This window comes from Homo sapiens, chromosome 2, assembly GCF_000001405.40.
Source record: "Homo sapiens chromosome 2, GRCh38.p14 Primary Assembly".
Lineage (NCBI taxonomy): Eukaryota > Metazoa > Chordata > Mammalia > Primates > Hominidae > Homo > Homo sapiens.
In genome coordinates, this window is record NC_000002.12 from 87,049,334 (window position 1) to 87,070,208 (window position 20,875).

The following is a 20,875-nucleotide window of genomic DNA, read 5'->3' on the forward strand; positions in this document are numbered from 1 at the left end:
TTATATGTATTTCAAGAGGAGGACGATATGAAATACAACAATTACGTCCTCAAAAGCCAAAGACATTTTGCTAACACACGTGGTTTGTTGAAGTTGGATGAAAACTTAAAACACAGGGCATATTTTCACTTGAAAGTATCTTTTAAATCTCTTTAGGGTTTTAAGTGCTAAAAACTTGAAGGAAAAACAAATATACACAAGACACAAATGTAACAATGAAACATGACAAGAGATAGTGCACGTGTTTTCTTTCACCTGTTTTCCTTTTCCTCGATGAACTCGTGGTCACTGAGCTCTGGGTACTGCACTACATTGACACGGACAGGATGCGCACTCTGAAGAAGCCTTCGCACATCCTGCACCCTTAAATCTTCACTCCATATTAATGACATGACCTCGTGATTCATGTCATTCATGCCGTCATCTTCCTCCTCAGTTTCTGTTCCTGAAGGAACATCTGATGAGAGCACCTGAGTAACAGACTTTATTGTAATAATAATTTCAAAAGCAGTTAACATGCACTTGCTGAACATGAGGATATATAGGCTGATGTGTCATGACTATACTAGCACAGAGAAAATATGTTTTCCAAAGCAGGCATGGGTTGGAGCCGCAATGTATACTGGGACTCTAATCTACAAATCTTTCTAAAAAGTACTATATTGCTGGCCGGGTGTGGTGGCTCACACTCTGTAATCCCAGCACTTTGGGAGGCCGAGGTGGGCGGATCACCCGAGGCCAGGGGTTCCAGACCAGCCTGGCCAACATGGTGAAACCCGGTCTCTACTAAAAATACAAAAATTAGCTAGCCAGACACAGTGGCGCACGCCTGTAGTCCCAGCTACTGGGGAGGCTGAGGCTGGAGAATCACTTGAACGCGGGAGGCAAAGGTTGCAGTGAGCCGAGATCGTGCCACTGTACTCCAGCCTGGGTGACAGAGTGAGATTCTGTCTCAAACAAACAAACAAACAAAACAAACAAACAAACAAAAGTACTACATTGCCTACTTGGAAATATTTGGAAATGACGGGGAGAGTTTAAATTTAGGACAACAGTCAAGGGGCTGGATACAAACAGAGAAATATTCTGAATAAACTATAAAAAAAAATCTAACTCATCCTGATCATTTTAAAAAAGAAATTATTGCAAGTAGAATATGAATACTAGTCACTGCTAATAATGCTAATTTAAATATTGTCTGTTCATTAATAGAAGGAGAAGGAAAAAAGCCTGAAAGGATATACACCAAGGGTTGGGGGAAGTCACACAATGAAATACTTTCTTACTTTACTACTTTTAATAGACAGGATCATGGTTGGATTTCATTATTAAGTTTTTTTTTTTTTTTGAGACAGGGTCTTACTCTGTCACTCAGGCTGGAGTACAGTGGTGTGATCATGGCTCCCTGCAACCTCCACCTCTTGGACTCAAGCGATCTTTCAACCTTAGCCTCCCGAGTAGCTGGGACTACATATGTGCACTGGCCACCCAGCTAATTTTTTTTATTTTTTGTAGAGACAGAGTCTTGCCCTGTTGGCCAGGCTGGTCTTGAACTCATGACCTCAAGGAGATCCACCCACCTCAGCCTCCCAAATAGCTAGGACTACAGGCACATACCACCACACCTGGCTAAATTTTTTAAAAAATTGTTTAAGTAGAGATGAGGTCTCACTATGTTGCCTAGGCTGGTCTCAAACTCCTGGGCTCAAGCAGTCCTCCGCCTTGGCCACCCCAAAGTGCTGAGATTACAGGCATGCGCCACCACACCCAGCCAGTTTTCACTATTTTTTAAAAAATGTGTTTCCAATAAAAATTTCTTAGAAGGAAAAGTACTGAACTGCAGCGAAACAAGTAAGAGGGTAAATTCCTTGATTGTCATCATGTTCTAAGCCCAGCATGTGCTTTAATATGGGGCTTCCCAGTCCAAATAATTAAATCTAACTGCAACACAGATGTGAATTGCATGGAATCATATCATATTCTCTCAAAAACAGTATTATACTCTTTTAACAAAAGAATAACTCCAAGTTGAAATGTTAAAGTTTTGCAACATTTAATGTGAAACCAACAAGGTCAGCCTGAAAAAAAAGTAGATACGACCAAATAATCACTTTTAGTTCCTAAAAATTCATTTTTAGTTCCTACAAAATATCTAATTTAAAAAAAAAACTGTATTCTAATGGGTGAGTTAGCTATAAAACATAGTCTCAAACAGTGACAAAATAAATTTAGATGGGATTAATTATAAAATGTAGCCTCAAATAACTGAACAAACTGTATTTAGACATAATTACTTAAAATCACGTTCAAATACAGATTAATGTTTTAATGCTAATGGTGCTGAACTGCTCTCTCTCACAGGAAAATCATTTTATAAGCAAAAAGATTTGTTTTCTGTTTAAAACAGGATGTAAATACTAATTCAACGAAGAGCTGTGATAGAGGCGCAGATTAAAGGAGAGAGATGCTGGGATGACCCTGCTGGAGATCAGATGCCCATGGAAACTGACTCCGGCATGGGTACACATTAGGCAACTCTGAGGTTAGGAATAAGTTTTGATATAGGCTCTGAAGAAGTAGTAATAAGACCTAAGGTGACTCGTAGTTACAATGTACTGATTATTATGTATTGATTCAAAAGCTACTAAGAGGCAAGGCCAAATTCCCACTGTCTTCTCAGGGACATGAACATAAAAGAGTCACCAGGAGTGGAATTATTATTCCTGAATCCTCCTTGATGAGATTCTACTGTTCATTTTTTAAAGTTACCTAGAATTCTAGAATAAGTTTTAAAAGTTTCATTTTCAAGTTTTGAGGATGATTTAAAAAGATAATTGGAGAGTAATGAAATAATTTAACTTTCTACTTGCAGGATTCCTAGAACTCATTTAAAAAAAAAAACAGACTTGATGACTGATGAAAGACAGTATTTCGGGAGGGATAGCTTAAGACATGTTTTTAAACAACTCTACTGAAAAAAACACATTTTTTCCCTGGGGCTGCAGTTTTATGTGATTAAACAAATATGTTTACACCTATTTAAAAGGTTAAATTCAAAAAATTCAACACATCAAAAAATATGCAGTAGAAAATACTTATATATAATTACTCATCCAAATTCAGGATATATGTGCTCTCCCTTTTCCTATGTAATAATTACAAAGTGGTTAATTACTAATATGGTACAAGTAGGGAAATAGCCATGGTAGTTTCCATGACTACCCTCAGGACTTGTCCTGATTCAAGGCAAAGAAAGATCCAGGCACAAGACAGAACATTCACAAAATCTCCTGCTCCTAATGCTCATCTTAACAATTAATAAGACGCGTACAATTACAAACCCCGTCTGGCATATAATATAAAAGACAAGCTAATATATATACTTAGAAAAAGCCTTAAAGGAAAATGAAGAACATTTCTACTTTATGATTTTATTTAAGGCTAAAATTGGAACTCTGAACTTTCTATGTTGATACTCACAGACTTCCCTTTGGGTAAGTTTCCTTCGCAGGCCTGCTTGGAAAGATCCTGACGTCCAATCAAGAGACAGACAGCTTCTGGCCAGTCTGAGGCAGGCTGTTCACGACAGTGATAAATTGCATCTCTGATGGGAAGAGCAATTCCAAAGGGAAGAGTTTCCAAATCTCTTAAAGTGAATCCTAATGGTTAAAGGAAGAGAGAAAAATTTTAATTTAGACTCGCCACTGTCCCAATTATCCTGACTGAAGTTGGCAACAATATCTATCCTGACAAATAAGTTCATTTTATTCATCTTACTACCAGACTAATGTCTTGACATCAAGGACTAGTATAGGAAGTCTCTTTGAAAGAACTTGTAAAAACCTGAAGAAAAAAAGACAATCTAATAGAAAAATATAAAGGACAAAAAGACATTTCCTAGAAGGGGAAACATAAATGGGCAACATGCATATGAAAAGATGCTCTACCTAATTAGTGATCAGGAAAATGCAAATTAAAGCTACTGAGAAATATAAATGTCAAAGCCAATCAATACTAAATGTTGGCAACTATGTAGAGCAATAATAATTCTTTTTATTCTTTTTTTTTTTTTTTTTTTTGAGATGGAGTCTCGCTCTGTCGCCCAGGATGGAGTGCAGTGGCGCGATCTTGGCTCACTGCAAGCTCCTCCTCCCGGGTTCACGCCATTCTCCTGCCTCAGCCTCCCGAGTAGCTGGGACTACAGGCGCCCGCCACCATGCCCGGCTAATTTTTTTTGTAATTTTTTTTAAGTAGAGACAGGGTTTCACCGTATTAGCCAGGATGGTCTCCATCTCCTGACCTTGTGATCCACAAGAGCAGAAGAAGATTCTGATCATCATGACAGGACAAAAAACATAAACTAGGAAACAGGGACATACATGGCATATATGGTCACCCTACCAGCTGCAGAAAGCATAATTGGTGAATTATTTGCCCAACTGCTCCAGATCCTGGTCAGTAGCCCACACACTAGAATTATAGTTGCTGAGCCCATCCCCCCTTATTCCAAGAATCTCTGATTGGCTGCCTTGGAAGCTTTAGCTCTTCTCACTGTCATACCACCTTTGGTTCTACTGTCCAAATGCTGACCTTCTGTTATAACTGCAGGCAGCCTGGTGGTCAAGCAGATGTCCCCAAGAACTTCCTGGGGTTCTCTCTGAACTTTGAGCCATTTAGAATCACCAGGATGCCTTGGTCACTGTCAACATCAAAATGTGAATCTTCTTAGACACCACCGGTAGTTACCGTACCTCTAGAGGAACTGAGGGTTCTTCACCCACAAATGAAGACCATCTCTAAAGTGCCCCATCACATTCTAGAAGGATACAGCTGCTGGAAGAAAATAAAGTGTCCCACCACCACTCCCACAGTTCTTAAGCTCATACACACCAACAACCACTCCAGGAACCAACTGAAGACTTCAAATATCATAGTACCAGAGAGGGTTGATGCCAAACCCACTTCTAAAACTGTGTTCACTCTCTTGGAGTTACCAAACAGGCTTCACAACCTCAAAGCCATTTCACAATCTCCCCAAAGTCTCAATCTCCCCACAGTCTCCCCAGTCACAATCTCCCCAAAGTCTGCCTTCCCAGACTTTGCTGGTGACTGCCATCACTGACATAACAACGTGGCTGGAACCCTGCTGCTGCCAAAACCACCCTCCGACTCTCTGGCCAAGTCAAACCCCTCACACCACTATGGGAGTAGTGAGAACTCTCTGAAAGGCCACTAACACTTCTGTAAGCCACAACTACCAAAACAAGTCCTCTGAGCCCATGCCACTCACAGTCTTGTCATACCACACCTACCAGTGAACAGTATTGCCTTATAAGCATATAGTTCTGACTCAAGCAGCGTCAAGCCTAGCCTTTTCACAGGATAATTTCTAACAGTTGGGTCTACCCATGAGTTACACGAACCACTCTCCAGATTCAATGAGCTTCTATTACCTCTGTTACAACTATCACTCTTGTGAGTACAGACTAAGTTAACTCATAAGACTGTTTAGAAGATGCCTTTGCTACAAAGGGCACTCCTCGAAAGTTCTTCCTACCCTCCCAGACATTTACGATGTGTGAAGAGAAATGCCCCAACCAGTCACAATCTCCCCAATGTTTGAAGTAGTCAGAGGTATCACACAGTAACCTTGAACTACTTCTCTTAGGTGCCAATAGGACTATGAACTCCATGAATAAAATCAGCTGGTACTAAAAATGGTAACTGCTTATAAGTCAACCACCAGGTCAAAGATGGCTTACTCAAAAAATGTCACAAGAAAAAAAACATCAAATCAAAGTGACCAGCCTCACTGCCTAGCAACCAACCCACTCACTCATTCACACAGAAGGCAAAATTGAAAGGTAGCTGGGACGCCCATAGGAAGAAAACAGTTAGGATGATGCAGGGGAGACTGATACAAGGCTGTTATTCTAATCATCCCATAACAGAGACAGAGTCACAGCTAGGGAATTATTCAGGAATTAGGAAAAGTTATTTCTGGTAAACAAACTCCCACATACTGGGTTAAAATTTCTTTGGAACTTTATTTATCATGACCCTAGGAGCTCTAGTCATATATGCAAATGGATAAACAACAAAGCTATAAAAGCAGAGGGTTTTAATTTTGCTTTTATTTTTTAAATAATAGCAACAAGGAACTTTAGTAAGAATAACATAGTAAAACTAGACCTGTAAAAGTCATCAAAAGCAAACATGACAGGAATAGCATAAAGTAATTTGTGAAAGCTAGTATTATCAAAGCACTGACAGAAGAAAAAGAATGATGCTAAAAAATACAAAACACTTCTTTCAATACCATACCTTATCAATGGCTTTTCCAACCCGAGAAACACTGCTGTGGATGTCTTTGTGGTCGGAGGCCAATTTTTGAACAGTATCCTTTATTCTTTTACAGCACTGTGTCAAAACAAGTCAAAGTGTCCCTGATAATTCAGCATCTTGGCCTATAAAAAAACAAAGGAAGGATTGGTTACTCACTTAAGCAAACCCAAAGATGGCAAGTTTCTAATGGGCCTTTTGGACCATGAAAGATGGAAGAAAAGTGAAGAAAAACCAGTATCTGCTTTGAAGCTGATGGTCACATTCATAGATGTGATTTTTCAAATGGATACTCAGAAAGATATAATTTTTTTATTTTTTGGAAATAAGAAAATTTTACTGTGAAAGGAATCATTTTTATCATTACAACAACCAGCACAGGCTGTGAATAATACTGTCAAGGCAGTATTATTTTTGAGAAAATATGTCTAAGTGAATAAACTCACTTATTAAACCCAGTTACACTGTTCAAGTCATTCTCAAAACGTTCTGGTTGTTACTAAATTTCCTCAAGAGAGATGATTTAGTGCAAATGCTTCATATTCCATATAAAGAGGTAGAAGAAAACAAACTTCCCTGGGTACCACGATGTGCAGAAAGGAGTTAACACAGCAGGTCATAGACTACTACCCTTAGAAAGTCCTGCTTACAAAGTCACCTCTTGGCTGGCATATAGAAACCTGGGAGTTTGGGAGTGTTCCCATCACTCCCTAACTCAGTGTTCCCCAACCTTTTTGGCACTAGGGACCAGTTTCGTGGAAGACATTTCTTCCACGGACGAGGGCTGGGGGGAATGGTTTCAGGATGAAACTGTTCCACCTCAGATCAGGCGTTAGTTAGATTCTCCTAAGGAGCACGTGAGCCAGATCCCTCGAATGTGCAGTTCACAACAGGGTTCATGCCCCTATGAGAATCTAATGCTGCCGCTGATCTGACAGTGGGTGGAGCTCAGGCGGCAATGCTCGTTCACCGCTGCTTGCCTCCTGCTGTGCACGGCCTGGTTCCTAACAGGCCACAGAGGGGTACTGGTCCATACCCGGGGGTTTGGAGACCCCTGCCCTAGCTGAAAAGAATGGCTCATTGTGCCTAAACTGTTGTACAGTGTGATTTATGGTGAACATCTGCTTTCCTTCTGGGAATCTAGAATGTTGATACATGCTAGGCAGTGAGTACCTGGCTTTCTCCTGGCTTGGAGAAAGCTTCCAATAGTCCTCTCCCAGTGAAGTCACATGGAATATGCTTAATTCCTGCAGCCATGGTTTGTGAGAAGTGTTAAGTGTTGCCTACCAGGGAAGCTCATTAGAAGCTCAGTGCCCAGGGTTTTTATTGGGGGCTGGTCACCAGGGCACCCACTGCCTAACTCTGGACTGCCTAACTTTGGACTTTGGACTTCTGCCCCATGAGTCTTTTCCCTTTGGTGATTTTGCTTTACACCCTTTTGCTGTAATAAATTCTAGCTAAGAGTATGATTATATGCTGAATTGTGTGACTCCTTTTAATGAATCACTGGAACCTAAAGGTGGTTTTGAAGACCCCTGACACACATGAGATCAACCAAAAGTTACTACAGTTTACATCCTTTCCCTGAGCTACCTCCCTCCAAATTTTGTTCCTATAGCAGGAAAAAAAGGAGGAGAAGGGAGAAAAACAGACAGATAAAACAAACCCAGTTATGGTATTTGTCATTTCTCTCTCTATCTACGTATTCCCACCTGTAAGCAACAGGCCTGGTTTCTGAAATCCTAACCAACATTATATAGAAGAGCTTCTTGAATTTTAATTTACATCAGAATCACTTAAAGTTAAAACAAAGTAGCTGGACCCCATCCCCAGAGTTTCTCATTCAATAGGTCCGGGATGGAACCTGAGAATTTAAACAAGGAGCCCAAGAGTAAAACAGCCCTAGGATGCCTGCTCATTTAACCAATATTTATTGAGCACTCACTATATATGACAGGTACAGCAGTGAAACAAAATAACCAAAAATCCCTTCCCAACAACTTAACTTCTGGCAAGAGACGTAACACACAAAATAAGCAAATTATATACTACGACAAAAGATGATACATGCTACCTGGGAAAGAAAAGCAGGGTAAGAGAGATGGGGAGTGTGTGTGGGTGGAGCAGCCGCAACTTCAAAACAGTGCTGGCATGGTAGGCTTCACTGAGTAGATGACACTGGAGGCAAGACTTGAAAAAAGTGAAGGAATTACCATGTGGCTGGCTACTTTGGGGTAAGCATGCCAGGCTGCGGGGAGAAAAGCCCTACTGCAAAAATACACCTAGACTATTCAAACAACAAAGAGGTCAGCATGTCAAAAGTGGATTTCTGGCCAAGGAAAATAGAAGAAGAGGTCCAAGAGATAATGGTCCTGGTTTGGTAGGATCTCTTTGGCATTGTAAAGACTTATGCTTTTACTTTGACTGAAAGGGACCACTGCAAGGTTTTGAGCAGAGAAGGCATGTAAACTAATTAAAAAAAAAACCCACAAAAAACATTTTTTTTTTTGAGACAGGGTCTCGCTCTGTTGCCCACACTGGAGTGCAGTGGCACAATCTGGGCTCACTGCAACCTCTGCTTCCCGTGCTTAAGCAATCCTCCTACCTCAGCCTCCCAAGTAGCTTGGATGACAGGCGCCCACCACCACACCGGATAATTTTTGTATTTTTTGCAGAGACAGGGCTTCATTATGTTGCCCAGGCTGGTCTCAAACTTCTGTGCTGAAGCAATCCTCCTGCCTCGGCCTCCCAAAGTACTCGGATTACAGGCGTGAGCCACCATGCCTGGCCGATAAAACATTTCAATATGGTCAGTCTAACTGGCAACGGGAGTACCAGAACTGAGCAGGAAAATAAGAGGCTGTGGCAGCAATCCAGATGAGAAATGACACTGGCTCAGTCCAGGATTTCATGACTGGACATGAGTGAAGAAAAGGACTCACAGATGTCTCCAAGATTTCTAGCCTGGGTCAACTAGAAAGATGGAGTTGTCTTCAGTTAAAACAAAAACAATCTCAGCACTTCAGGAGGCCAAGGCAGGAGGATCACTTGAGCACAGGAGTTTGAAACCAACCTTGGGCAACAGAGTCAGACCCTGTCTCTACAAAACATACAAAAATTAGCTGGGCATGGTGGCACACGACTGTGGTCCCAGCTACTTGGGAAGCTGAGGTGCGAGGATCACTTCAGCCTGGGACGTCTCGGCTGCAGGGAGCTACAGCACTGCACTCCAGCCTGAGTGACAGAGCGAGACCTCAACTCCCCATCCTGCCAAAAAAGAATAAAGGCTAAGCAGGTATGAGGGGAGAGGAGAGAGAGAAAGTTCAGTTTGGGGCTTGTTAAGTTTGAGACATTGAGTAGGCACCGCAGTGCATAAGTGGAGGAGTTGGTGAGATATACAAACCTGGAGTTCAACAGCAGTGTTAGTGCTGGAGATACAAATTTGTGAGTCACTGACATTATATATATATATATATATATATATGATACTTAATGCATGGGACTATATGAAATCACCAGGGGAGTCAGTACAGACACAGAGAAGTGATAAAAGAACTGAGTCTTGAGAACTCCAAGTTTATGAGGCTGGGAAGAAATAGAACTGGAAAAGGAGGCTAACAAAGACTACTGAAGCACTAACTGTGATGGAGGAGGAAACTCAAGAAAAGTATAATGTTGGGGAAACCAAGAGAAGAAAATGTGTCAAGGAAGGAGGAGTAACCAGCTGTGTTGATGTGCTACTAGGTCAAGTAAGATGGGGACTGAGAATTGGCCACTGGATTTACAATGTGGAAGTAATCAGTGACGATGACAAGAATAGTGTCTCTAAAATTCTATGAAAAGAAATCCTAAAAGGTTACAGGGAACTGTGAAGAGGGACTATATTAAGTCTGGTTCAATGACAACTACTGAGATAAATGAAAAGATAAGAAAAAAGCTTTCCTTATCTCTAAATACAGTTGCACAAAGTTTCTATCAAGTGTTTCCAACTTCCAATAACACAATTAGGCTTCCAACTTCTAATAACATAATTTAGGCTAAGGCAAGACTTGGTACTTCAAGAAAATTTCAAAATCTGTTTAAAAGGTGTTCCACAGATTTCTTGGACCAAAAGCATCTAATTGCTTCAGCAGCTCTGTTCTGGCCATTTCTGATCTTTCTGTACCTAAAGCACACCTAACCTCAACAGCCTCATCTTCTCTATGAACCCATCTGACCACAGACTTACTCCCTCTTCTGAATTCCTGGTAACTTCTGATCTCTCCCCTACTCCCCCAGCACTTAATTATAACCCATTTTAACAATTTCATGTATATATACCGTCATCAGTCTCTACTAAACATAAGCCCCCAAGGGAAGACCAAGTCCTTATTATAAATTGTATACTCCAGTTTTATATTAATAGTGCCTGCAAATGTGCAAGACATATAAGTATCTGAATTGATGGTAAATAAAGTGAGGAAAAAATAGTTTTTGTTTTTGCTTTTGTTAGAGCCATATTCAACAAATGGTGCTGAGACAACAAGATATCCACATGCAAAAGAATCACATAATATATAAAAACTAATTCAAATGAGCCAAATGCAGTGGCTCAAGCCTGTAATACAAGCACTTTGGGAGCCCGAGGTGGGTGGATTGCTTGAGCCCAGGAGTTTGAGACTAACTTGGGCAACATGGCAGAACTCCATCCCTACAAAGAATACAAAAATTAGCAGGGTGTGGTGGTGCACGCCCACAGTCCAAGCTTCTAGGGAGGCTGAGGTGGGAGGACTGCTTGAGCCCAGAAGGTAGAGGCTGCAGTGAACCGTAAGCATGTCACTACACTCCAGCCTGGGCAACAGAGTGAGACCCTGTCTCAAAAAAATAAAATCAAAAATAAAAATTAACTCAAATGGAATAAAGACCTAAATGTAAGAGCTGAAACTATCAAATTCTTAAAAGAAAACAGATGCATTTCTGACCTTGAATTAGGCAATGGTTTTTCAGCTATGACACCACAAGCACAAGCAACCAAAGAAAAAATAATTAAAATGGACTTCATCAAAATTAAAAACTTGTGTTGCAAACACTATCAATAAAGTGAAAAGACAATTCATAGAAGGGGAGCAAATATTTGCAAATCACATTCTGATAAGGGTTTAGTATCCAGAATAATATAAAGAACTCTTAAAGCTCAACAATAACAAGACAAACAATGCAATTTAAAAATGGGCAAAGCACAAGGCACAGTTCACGCCTGTAATCCCAGCACTCTGGGAGGCCAAGGCAGGTGAACCACTTGAGCCCAGGAGTTTGAGACTAGCCTGGACAACAAGGCGAGACTCTGTCTCTACAAAAAAAATACAAAAATGTGGCTGGGCACAGTGGCTCATGCCAGTAGTCATAGCAACTAGGGAGGCCGAGGCAAGTGGATCCCTTGAGCCCAGGAGGCTGAGGCTGCAGTGAGCTATGATTGCGCCACTGCATTCCAGCCTGGATGAAAAACAAGACCCTAACTCAAAAAAAAAAGGTCAAGGATTTGAATAGACATTTTTCAAAAGAAGATATACAAATAGCCAACAGGCACACAAAAAGATGCTCAATATTATTGGTCATTATGAGATGAAAATCAAAACTACAATGAGATACTACTTCATGCCCACAAGATTGGCTATCAGGAAAACACAATAATAACTGTTGGAAAGGATGTGGAGAAATTCAAAGCCTTATCCATTGCTAGTGGAATATAAAATGGTGCAGACACCATAGAAAACAATTTGGCAGTTCCTCAGAACGTTAAACAGTTACTATATGACCCAGAAATTCCACTCCTAGTTATATCCTAGTTATATACCCAAAAGAACAACATGTCCACACAAAAACCTGAATCAGAATGTTCACAGTAGCATTATTCATAAGACAAAAACTGGTAAGAAACCAAACCTCCAAAGAATGAATGGATAAACAACGGATTATCCAGTCATTAAAGGAAATGAGGTACTGATACATACTATGACATAGATGAACCTTGAAAATATTACATTAAGTATTCAATAAGCCAGACACAAAAGGCCACATATTGTGTCATTTCATTTGCATGGAAGGTACAGAATAGACAAATCTATAGAGACAGACATAGATTAATGGTATTTGGAGTGGGAGGAGACAGGGTGGGAATGGAGAGTGACTGTTAATGAGTACTGGATTTCTTTCAGAAATAAAGAAAATGTTTTTAAAAAGAAGTCATACCTCCTATCCATCCAGACACATTTATTTCTACAACCAGCAGACAACAAGGTAGGAAAAACACAAAAAATAAAAAGGGTGCCAGGTACGATGGCTCACGCCTGTAATTCCAGCACTAAGGAAGGCCGAGGCAGGCGGATCACTTGAGGTCAGGAGTCTGAGACCAGCCTGGCCAATATGGTGAAATCCCATCTCTCCTAAAAATACAAAAATTAGCTGGGCGTGGTGGTGAGCACCTGCAATCCCAGCTACTAAGGAGGCTGAGGCAAGAGAATAGCTTGAACCCTGGAGGCAGAGGCTGCAGTAAGCCGAGATTGCGCCACTGCACTGCAGCCTCGGTGACAGAGCGAGACTCGGTCTCGAAAACAATAATAATAAAAATAAAAAAGGATGAAGCCAAGCTGGAGGAAAGAGGTCACCTAGAATTTACCACTGAACTTCCACGCACCAACCTTGAAATCCAATGATATTTTCAAATCGTAGTAACTTACATATCTGGAGTTTGGTGCTATTTGTTACCTCCTTTTCTTCCTTTACCATCTACAAATTCCTCTAATTTTTGGTTTTCAATTTTATGAATGACAGATACAAGCAGTTTATGGCCAATTAATTAATACTGAGAGTTCTCAGAATGCTCCAAGGAAAAATAATTTCTGTAAGGTATTTGGAAACTCAAGAAAAGCAGAATGGAATAATCTGAAAGAGAACCCTGGGAAAGCCCTGTTAAGAGAGAAAGAGTTCACTAATGCATTTTCAAATGGACTCAGTGGAAAGCAGCCAAAGGTTTAAAACAGGTTTGAAAATTGCTATAATGACCAGACTGACAGTCAACCAAACTTCTATAAGTCCTACTGGGAGAGTTCTAACGTTCTTTTGATTTCTCTGTATGAAAACACAACCTGCTTCTAGGAGAACCTTTATGTGAAAGAAACTGGATTCAGTTCCTAGAAGAAAAGCTGGGGAATTACTGTGACAGCCATCTCCACCATAACTACATCCAGGTTGGCCACTGCGGTGGTCACTTGTCACCCAGAAGAAAGTCCTGCACTAACTGTGTCTTCCAATGTAGTAAACCCAGGGAACCCAGGCCCAATGCATGAGCCTGAAAGAAACAACTCTGACGCAATGCTCACTCATCACTGGAGGGTCACAAGTACTTTTTAAAGTCAGTTTTATGATTAAACAAGTGTAAGAATTAGCATGTTCAATATAAGCAAAGAACGAACATATGTAGACCATCTACGTGTGTTGCTTTATTAAGTTAAAATTTTCAATAAAATAGAACAGCACCTTTTATCATATAAACAGATTTTAAGCACGACACTCAAAATTTTCAAGTTCTGCCCTTGAGCCTCACTGCTTTGCCATTTTAGGATGTATGCCCACTAGTTTCACAGAAACAATAAATAAGAAAAATGTTTGTTTCCATAGCATCCTATACTTCCCTATCAGAGTTTCACACTTTGTTGTAAATAGTTATTTGTCCATTACTCCCACAAAATTAACTTTAGTAGGAAATATGACCAATCCCCAACGTTTAGTATAGTAACTGGCAAATACTACACGTTCAGTAACTAGTTACCAAAAGAATAAATATGAAAATAATTAATTATGTATTACATAATCTCAATTTCAAACCCAGCATTGAAGACTGTCTGGTACTACCAACACCCTCTGAAATTGCCAGCAGTTTCACTCAGCAGTTCACTGACCCCTCACTCTCTCACAGAATGTTTAGCATCTGCTACACAGTAACACTGCAGCCTAAGTTCTGCAAATACCAAGTAAGTTAGGAAATAATACTGTTCCTGTCTGTCAATAACATTATTGCCTAAGTAGAAAATCCCAAAGAATCTACACACAAACACAATCCAAGAATAGATGAGAGTTCAACAAGGTCACAGTACCCAAGATCAACACAAACATACAAACACACATATGCACACATATTTTCAAATAAGACACATTCACAAAAGAGTCCCCTGGCATCAGTTATAAGTTCCTTCTCTCTTCCAAATAATGACCTCTCCCACCAACCCCAGGAATTAATGGGCTTGTGCTCTGACTCAAGTCACTTTTGAGACAGTTTCTTTTTTACAAAACTATTTCCACATTTGTCAAAGATGCAATGAAACATCTCTAATATATAATGTGACCCTATAAAAGTATATTCTAAGTCAGATATAGGAAGGTATAACAAACGTACACATTAAAAGGGTGACTGGTTTGCACAAAGCTAAAAACTATAAAATCCCTACTAATACCTTGGTTACACCTTCAATACACTTTTAGCATTTTGTACATACATTTGTTTTACTTTCTTCCCTACTGATCACAAGCCTCAAAAAAAAGCACGTCTCGTGTCCAGCTCCGTGACAAGATTTACCCACTATTTTGGCTCACCTTAATACAATCTAGACAAATATATCATTAATATTGACAAGTACGTTTCTCATCCCTACTCAGTATCTGCACTTTTAATTTTCTGTCTGCCACTTATTTTTATGATATGGGGGGAGGGGGTTCAACTCTGCACAAACACACTGTTAAAGATAGCATTGCTAAAACTAAACAGCTGGTTGGTAGGCAGCACACCATGTTGCAGCCTGAAATGTCTGCCATCAGGAGATAATAAAAAGTTCTAATTTGGTCTATAAAAGGCAGTTTAAAGGTGTCAATTACACCATGAAATACATGCTGCCCACGAGTCAAACACATGAGAGATGAGACCCACCATACTTGAGAGCACTCTATAAAAAAATAGGGAGGCACAATATAAAAAAGTATTGTTATGGTGATGATTTTCAAGAAGGTTGAAAGTATCACCACCTAAGACTGGAATATTTCCACAGAAATAAGATTCCGCAGAAATCACTAAGACCTGGCTTGACATTTTAATGAATATCCTATAGGCAGTAAAAATTTAAAATATCCAAGTTTATAAATATTACATGTATCGCATTTGAGCTCTTCTGAGTTATGAAAAGTTAACTCCACTTTCATAAGATGGACAGAGATCTTAAATTTAGAATTAAGTGGAAAGCAAAATGGAACACAAGTTTTGATGCAGATAAATACAAAGAAATCCATTTAGGAAACAAACCTAACTGTACCTAAATGAAAACTCAGACCTCATAGAGATATACTCCAGAATTCATTCTAGATTAGCTATTTAAATAAAAACACTAAAATCAGAAAGCTAAAAGAGTATTAGGCATCACTAAGAAGGCTGGTGGGGGGGGAAATCTATGATATACCACTCTTATAAAAGCCTTGATGCCTTAAAATACAAAATGAAACCAAGAAAAAACAGAAAAAAATGTAAAAGGGAGAACTATGACATTTAGAGTCAATTAACATTTATTGAGTGCTGAAGGCCTGTGTCAGCAATGTTCAAGATACTTTTCCCATGTTACCAATTTCTACACAGATTTAAGAAATTTAGAATGGGAATAAAGTAGATAAAGGATAAAAAGATCTAAGACTGACTCTAGAAAAGTCACTGACAAGGTGACCATGGATATCCTTGCGAAGTACTAGAATAGAAAAACTTGAAACTTGAAAAGGTAAGGTTGGAATTTTTTAAAAATAAGGGACTATTTCATTTTGTCTGTAGTAAAATAAACTGCGGCCCATTGAAATTTGGGATTCTTGTGAGCTACTTCAGCACCTAGGACACAGCGGCTGCTTAGAGGAAAGAGAAAAGGCACAAATAGAACACATTCATTTTTTTCTGGAGGAGGTAAACACTGAAAACAAAATTTTTCCAGTATATTAGTAGCTGGTAAATCTGCAAAGTAAAAGAAAGTATGGTATTTGGTGTTCAACTCCTGACCTTTCAGAGAACAGTAGACTGACAGACACGTGTTCTGATCCAGAGAGATTATTAAAGACTGTGCATCAAATTAGAGGCACAGTGTGCTGCAAACCAAACATGAGGGGAAAAAAACGAAATAAAGTTAATATTTAGAGTGAAATTACATGGTACAGACTAATAGTGCTCCTGGAGCAAAGAACAGTATCAATGACTATCATAGAGAAGACAGGAAAGGCTTCAAAGTATATGAGGCAAGAATTGCAGAGAGAAGAAAAAAGATACAGGCACAAGATTTTAAACATATGTCTGTGACAGTCACATTTTAGAGAACCTATTCACTCCCTTCAAATTCCAAATATAAAGACTTAATCTCTAGGCATCTCATTTATCTCTGAAATGAATGGTGGAACCACATTAGGTTTCCTGTAGCATTGGAATCTGGATTTCATATTTAAAAATCAAACTCAGGCCAGGTGCAGTGGCTCACGCCTATAATCCCAGCACTCTGGGAGGCCGAGGTGGGTGGATCATTTGAGTTCAGGAGTTCAAGACCAGCCTGGCCAACATGGTGAAACCCCATCTCTACTAAAACTACAAAAATTAGCCAGGCGGTAGTGGCGCATGCCTGTAATCCCAGCTATTCAGGAGGCTGAGGCAGAAGAAACACTTGAACCCAGGAGGCAGAGATTGTGGTAAGCCGAGACACTGCAATCCAGTCTGGGCAACAGAATGAGACCCCCCCTCCCCCACCCCCCAAAAAAACAAAAACAAAAACAAAAAAAAATCAAACTCAGATTTCCACCTTCCCCTCTCCTAAACTTCCTATTTTCTACCTGGTTCCATAATGATCTACCCATCATTCATGTTTAAAACCTTGGATTAACCTTTGGTTTTTCCTGCCCTTTTCTCCTACTCTGCCAGACTCCATCTGTGCACCAACTCCTGGTCATTCCTTCCCTCAGAAATCCCTTTCATGTGTCCCTTTAAATTTCTACCACCAGTACCCAAAGACAGGTCCCTATTTCATCAAATCTAGGTTGACACTTAGCCTTAGCTAACCTTCTTGCCTCTAGTCAAACCTCACTCCCAACTCCAAACCAACCTAAATACTGCTGACAACTGGTCTCTGATCGTGTCCCTGTCCCCTCCCTATTCAAAATGTCCCCACCCCACCCCAAAGTAATTCAATATCTTCCCAGTCTACTACTTTCCCTGGTATCCATGGCTTTACAAAACCTGATTCCAATTTAATTTTAATGCTCTTATCGCCTTTCCCCTGCAATCTGGTCCTTCACCTCTCACTCCTCTACACCTTTGTTCTTGCCATCCTCCCCTCCAGGCACTCCATATAGCTCTTTCTGCTATCCATATTCAATTTCTGCTACTAAAACTTCCCATAGGTAAAAAGAGTCTCTCCTTGTCTCAAATCCTACCCCTTTTTGTCCACACCACTCATGTAGCATCTAGCCTAGATACATAACCGTGCATTACAGGGCACTGCTTTTGTTTGTGTGTTTGTTAAAAAATGCCAGTCTCATCTCCCTAACTGGACACAAAGTTCTTAGAGGATGAAAATGCTTGTTCTTTGTAACTCCTAGAAGATTTTGCTTAGTTCTACCTATAAATGGTGATTAATAACTACTGATGAGGTGATCTAAAGTTCAGTTGAAATAATGCCCATCTACTCCCATGCAGTTCTTTCTAAGGGCTCTCTCTCTTCACTGGTGTCTGTACTAACCAGAAGCACTGTTACACACTGTGTGCCATGGTCTTGTTTTTTCCCCCTTTCAAATATGAGTCTGGTCTCTCCAACTAACTTCTAAGTTCCTTAAAGACTCTTATACCTTTTAAGCATTCTTTACAATGTTAAGCAGACCACTGGACACAGAGTGGTATTTAACATAAACCAGTAATAAAGACACCTAAATATTACCCAAAATGTCTCAATTAAACAGTGCTTGGGCCCGGCGTGGTGGCTCACGCCTATAATCCCAGCACTTTGGGAGGCCAAGGCAGGCAGATTACGAGGTCAAGAGATCGAGACCATCCTGGCCAACATGGTAAAATCTCGTCTCTACTACAAAAAAAAAAAAAAAAAAAGTCAGGCCTGGTGGCATGCGCCTGTAATCGCAGCTACTCGGGGGGCTGAGGCAGGGGAATCGCTTGAACTTGGGAGGCAGAGGTTGCAGTGAGCCAAGATCATGCCACTGCACTCCAGCCTGGGTGACAGAGCGAGACTCAGCCTCAAAAAAAAAAAAGCTTAACACCACTTAAGGCACAGACTTTATAAATAACACGTCTACCCTGTTTTACAAATTTCAAAGCCAGTTCACGTCTATTATTTATTTCACTCTCATAACTCTGTGATGTCAGTTTACTGAAGGAAAAACTGGCTAAGCAAGATTGTAGGATCAGGCCGGGCGTGGTGGCTCATGCCTGTAATCCCAGCACTTTGGGAGGCTGAGACGGGTGGATTACTTGAGCCCAGGAGTTCAAGATCCCCCTAGCCAACATAGTGAAACTCCGTCACTACTAAAAATACAAAAATTAGCCATGCATTGTGCACACCTGTAATCCCAGTTACTTGGGAGCACAAGAATCGCTTGAACCCTGGAGGCAGAGGTTGCAGTGAGCTGAGATCACACACCACTGCACTCCAGCCTAGGTGACAGAGTGAGACTCTGTCTCCAAAAAAAAAAAAGATTGTAGAACCAGTAAATTGGCAGTGCAAGGATTCAAACCCAGACCTCCTGGGCCCAGGGTCAAAATTTTAGGTACTATTCCACAAATACAGATTCAACTTCTCAATTAGCCTCCAAGTTCCTGGAGGACCAGGGCCATGAATAATTTCTTTTAAAAGATTCTCTCCTCAACTCCTCCCAAATGTCTTCATGTATCAATAAGATGAATTAAACCTATATGAATTCTGCAGATACAACAAACTCATCATAAATAACACACAGCCTGACACTACATTGTGCCCCCATAACAGACGAAATCACCATCCAGGCCTCCATCTTAAGTGGAGAAAGACTTGGTAATATAAGCCTATGGCCTCTCCAAGCGACATTCCCAAACAACCATTTTGAGCTCAGCCACACAATCACCACACCCATATAAGGTGAAAGCATACTGTATTTCTCAAAATCCTCGAGTCCTGCCAGACAGTCTAGTCTTTGTTCTCTGAAGGGTTGAGTTAACATCTAATCTAAAGAGAATGGCCAGAAGTGTCTGCTACTCTCAGAGCTTTCAAGGAAACGTCCAGTTAGAGAGCATCATCTCCTGGAAGTACCACGGGTCTCCAAGTACACATAGCTCAGAGCCAGGGCCCTCCATAATTTTCTCCCTAAACTGCATTTTTGGATCATTTTTAAAGACTTTGGAAGCCTTACAGATGAAGAAGCAGGGCCCTAAATAAAAATAAGTTAGTTTTAATATTCCAAGTGAACAGTTTGCTAAAACACCATTTTCATCATCCTAAAGACTAAGAGACTAAGACATGAAAACAACAGAAACTTCTCTATTAGCTCTAGTATGACAGTATCACAGAAGTGTTGGCAAGTTTCTCCTTACCAATGTTATTATCCAGAGTTAGAAACTACTTTAGAAATAAAATAACTTTAGGAAAATTACTTTACTATGTCAAGCATTAAAGTAATTTCAAAAAAGTTCTAGAGGAACATGAACCAAGTTGTATTCTCTAGTCTATAGATTAAGTCATACTAACAACTCACTACTTGAATTATATGAGCATTATAGTTAGGAGGCCAGGCAAAAGCTGAGAAGGCGAGGCTAGTCAGGAAAACATCTCAGAGAATGTTACTGATATAACATGTAGCTGTTGCACTGTAATAGACATATATTACTCTGTCTGGGTTTAAGTGTTCCTTTCTAGAACTGTCTCTTTACCTGATGAACAGTGTATTATAAGGCCATATACCTCCTGAGGGGGTGAGCACAGCTCAAGGTGGCCAGAAGACCTCACTCCCTGGTCCCAGTTACTGATTCAGGGAAAGGATCCATAACGGAATAATAAAGGTACTCCCTGGAGTATCTCCAACAAAATGGCCATGTTCCTGTCTTTTGAGCTCCATTGGTCATCTCTACCCCATGTGAAGAAAACTACCCTGAAAATGAAGCCAACAGTTGACAGAAGAGAACAAGATCAGTCCTGATGACATGCCTGGTGCCCCTGGAGCCAGCCTAGCCCTAACCTCAGCCTATTTATACATCAACAAATTCCATTTTAATGAAAACTATTATGTCACCTGCCAGTCTAAATGAATATGGTGCCAAATAAAAAAGAATTAATTATCTCCAGAGTACGTCTGGAAAAAGAATGGCTAACAAAGTTAAATCTACTTCTAAACCCAACTGGAAACACCAATATACTGACTTTTTATTCTTACCACCTAAAATGGCCTAAATAACTTGAGAACCAGTCCGTTCTTCTCTTAGAATGTTTGAACAATGTCCACCCAAACTTTTATT

The 20,875-nt window shown here is 40.2% G+C and overlaps 1 pseudogene across 1 annotated transcript in view; it reads right to left on the minus strand.

Moving 5' to 3' along the window:
* ANAPC1P2 (ANAPC1 pseudogene 2) overlaps positions 1–20,875 on the minus strand; it is a 45,739-nt pseudogene that overhangs the window by 18,659 nt on the left and 6,205 nt on the right. Inside the window, exons 2-4 of the transcript NR_026846.1 lie at positions 6,325–6,467; positions 3,481–3,659; positions 256–470 (exon numbers count right to left, since the gene is read on the minus strand). The product of NR_026846.1 is annotated as an ANAPC1 pseudogene 2 (transcript). The remainder of the gene's footprint in view (positions 1–255; positions 471–3,480; positions 3,660–6,324; positions 6,468–20,875) is intronic.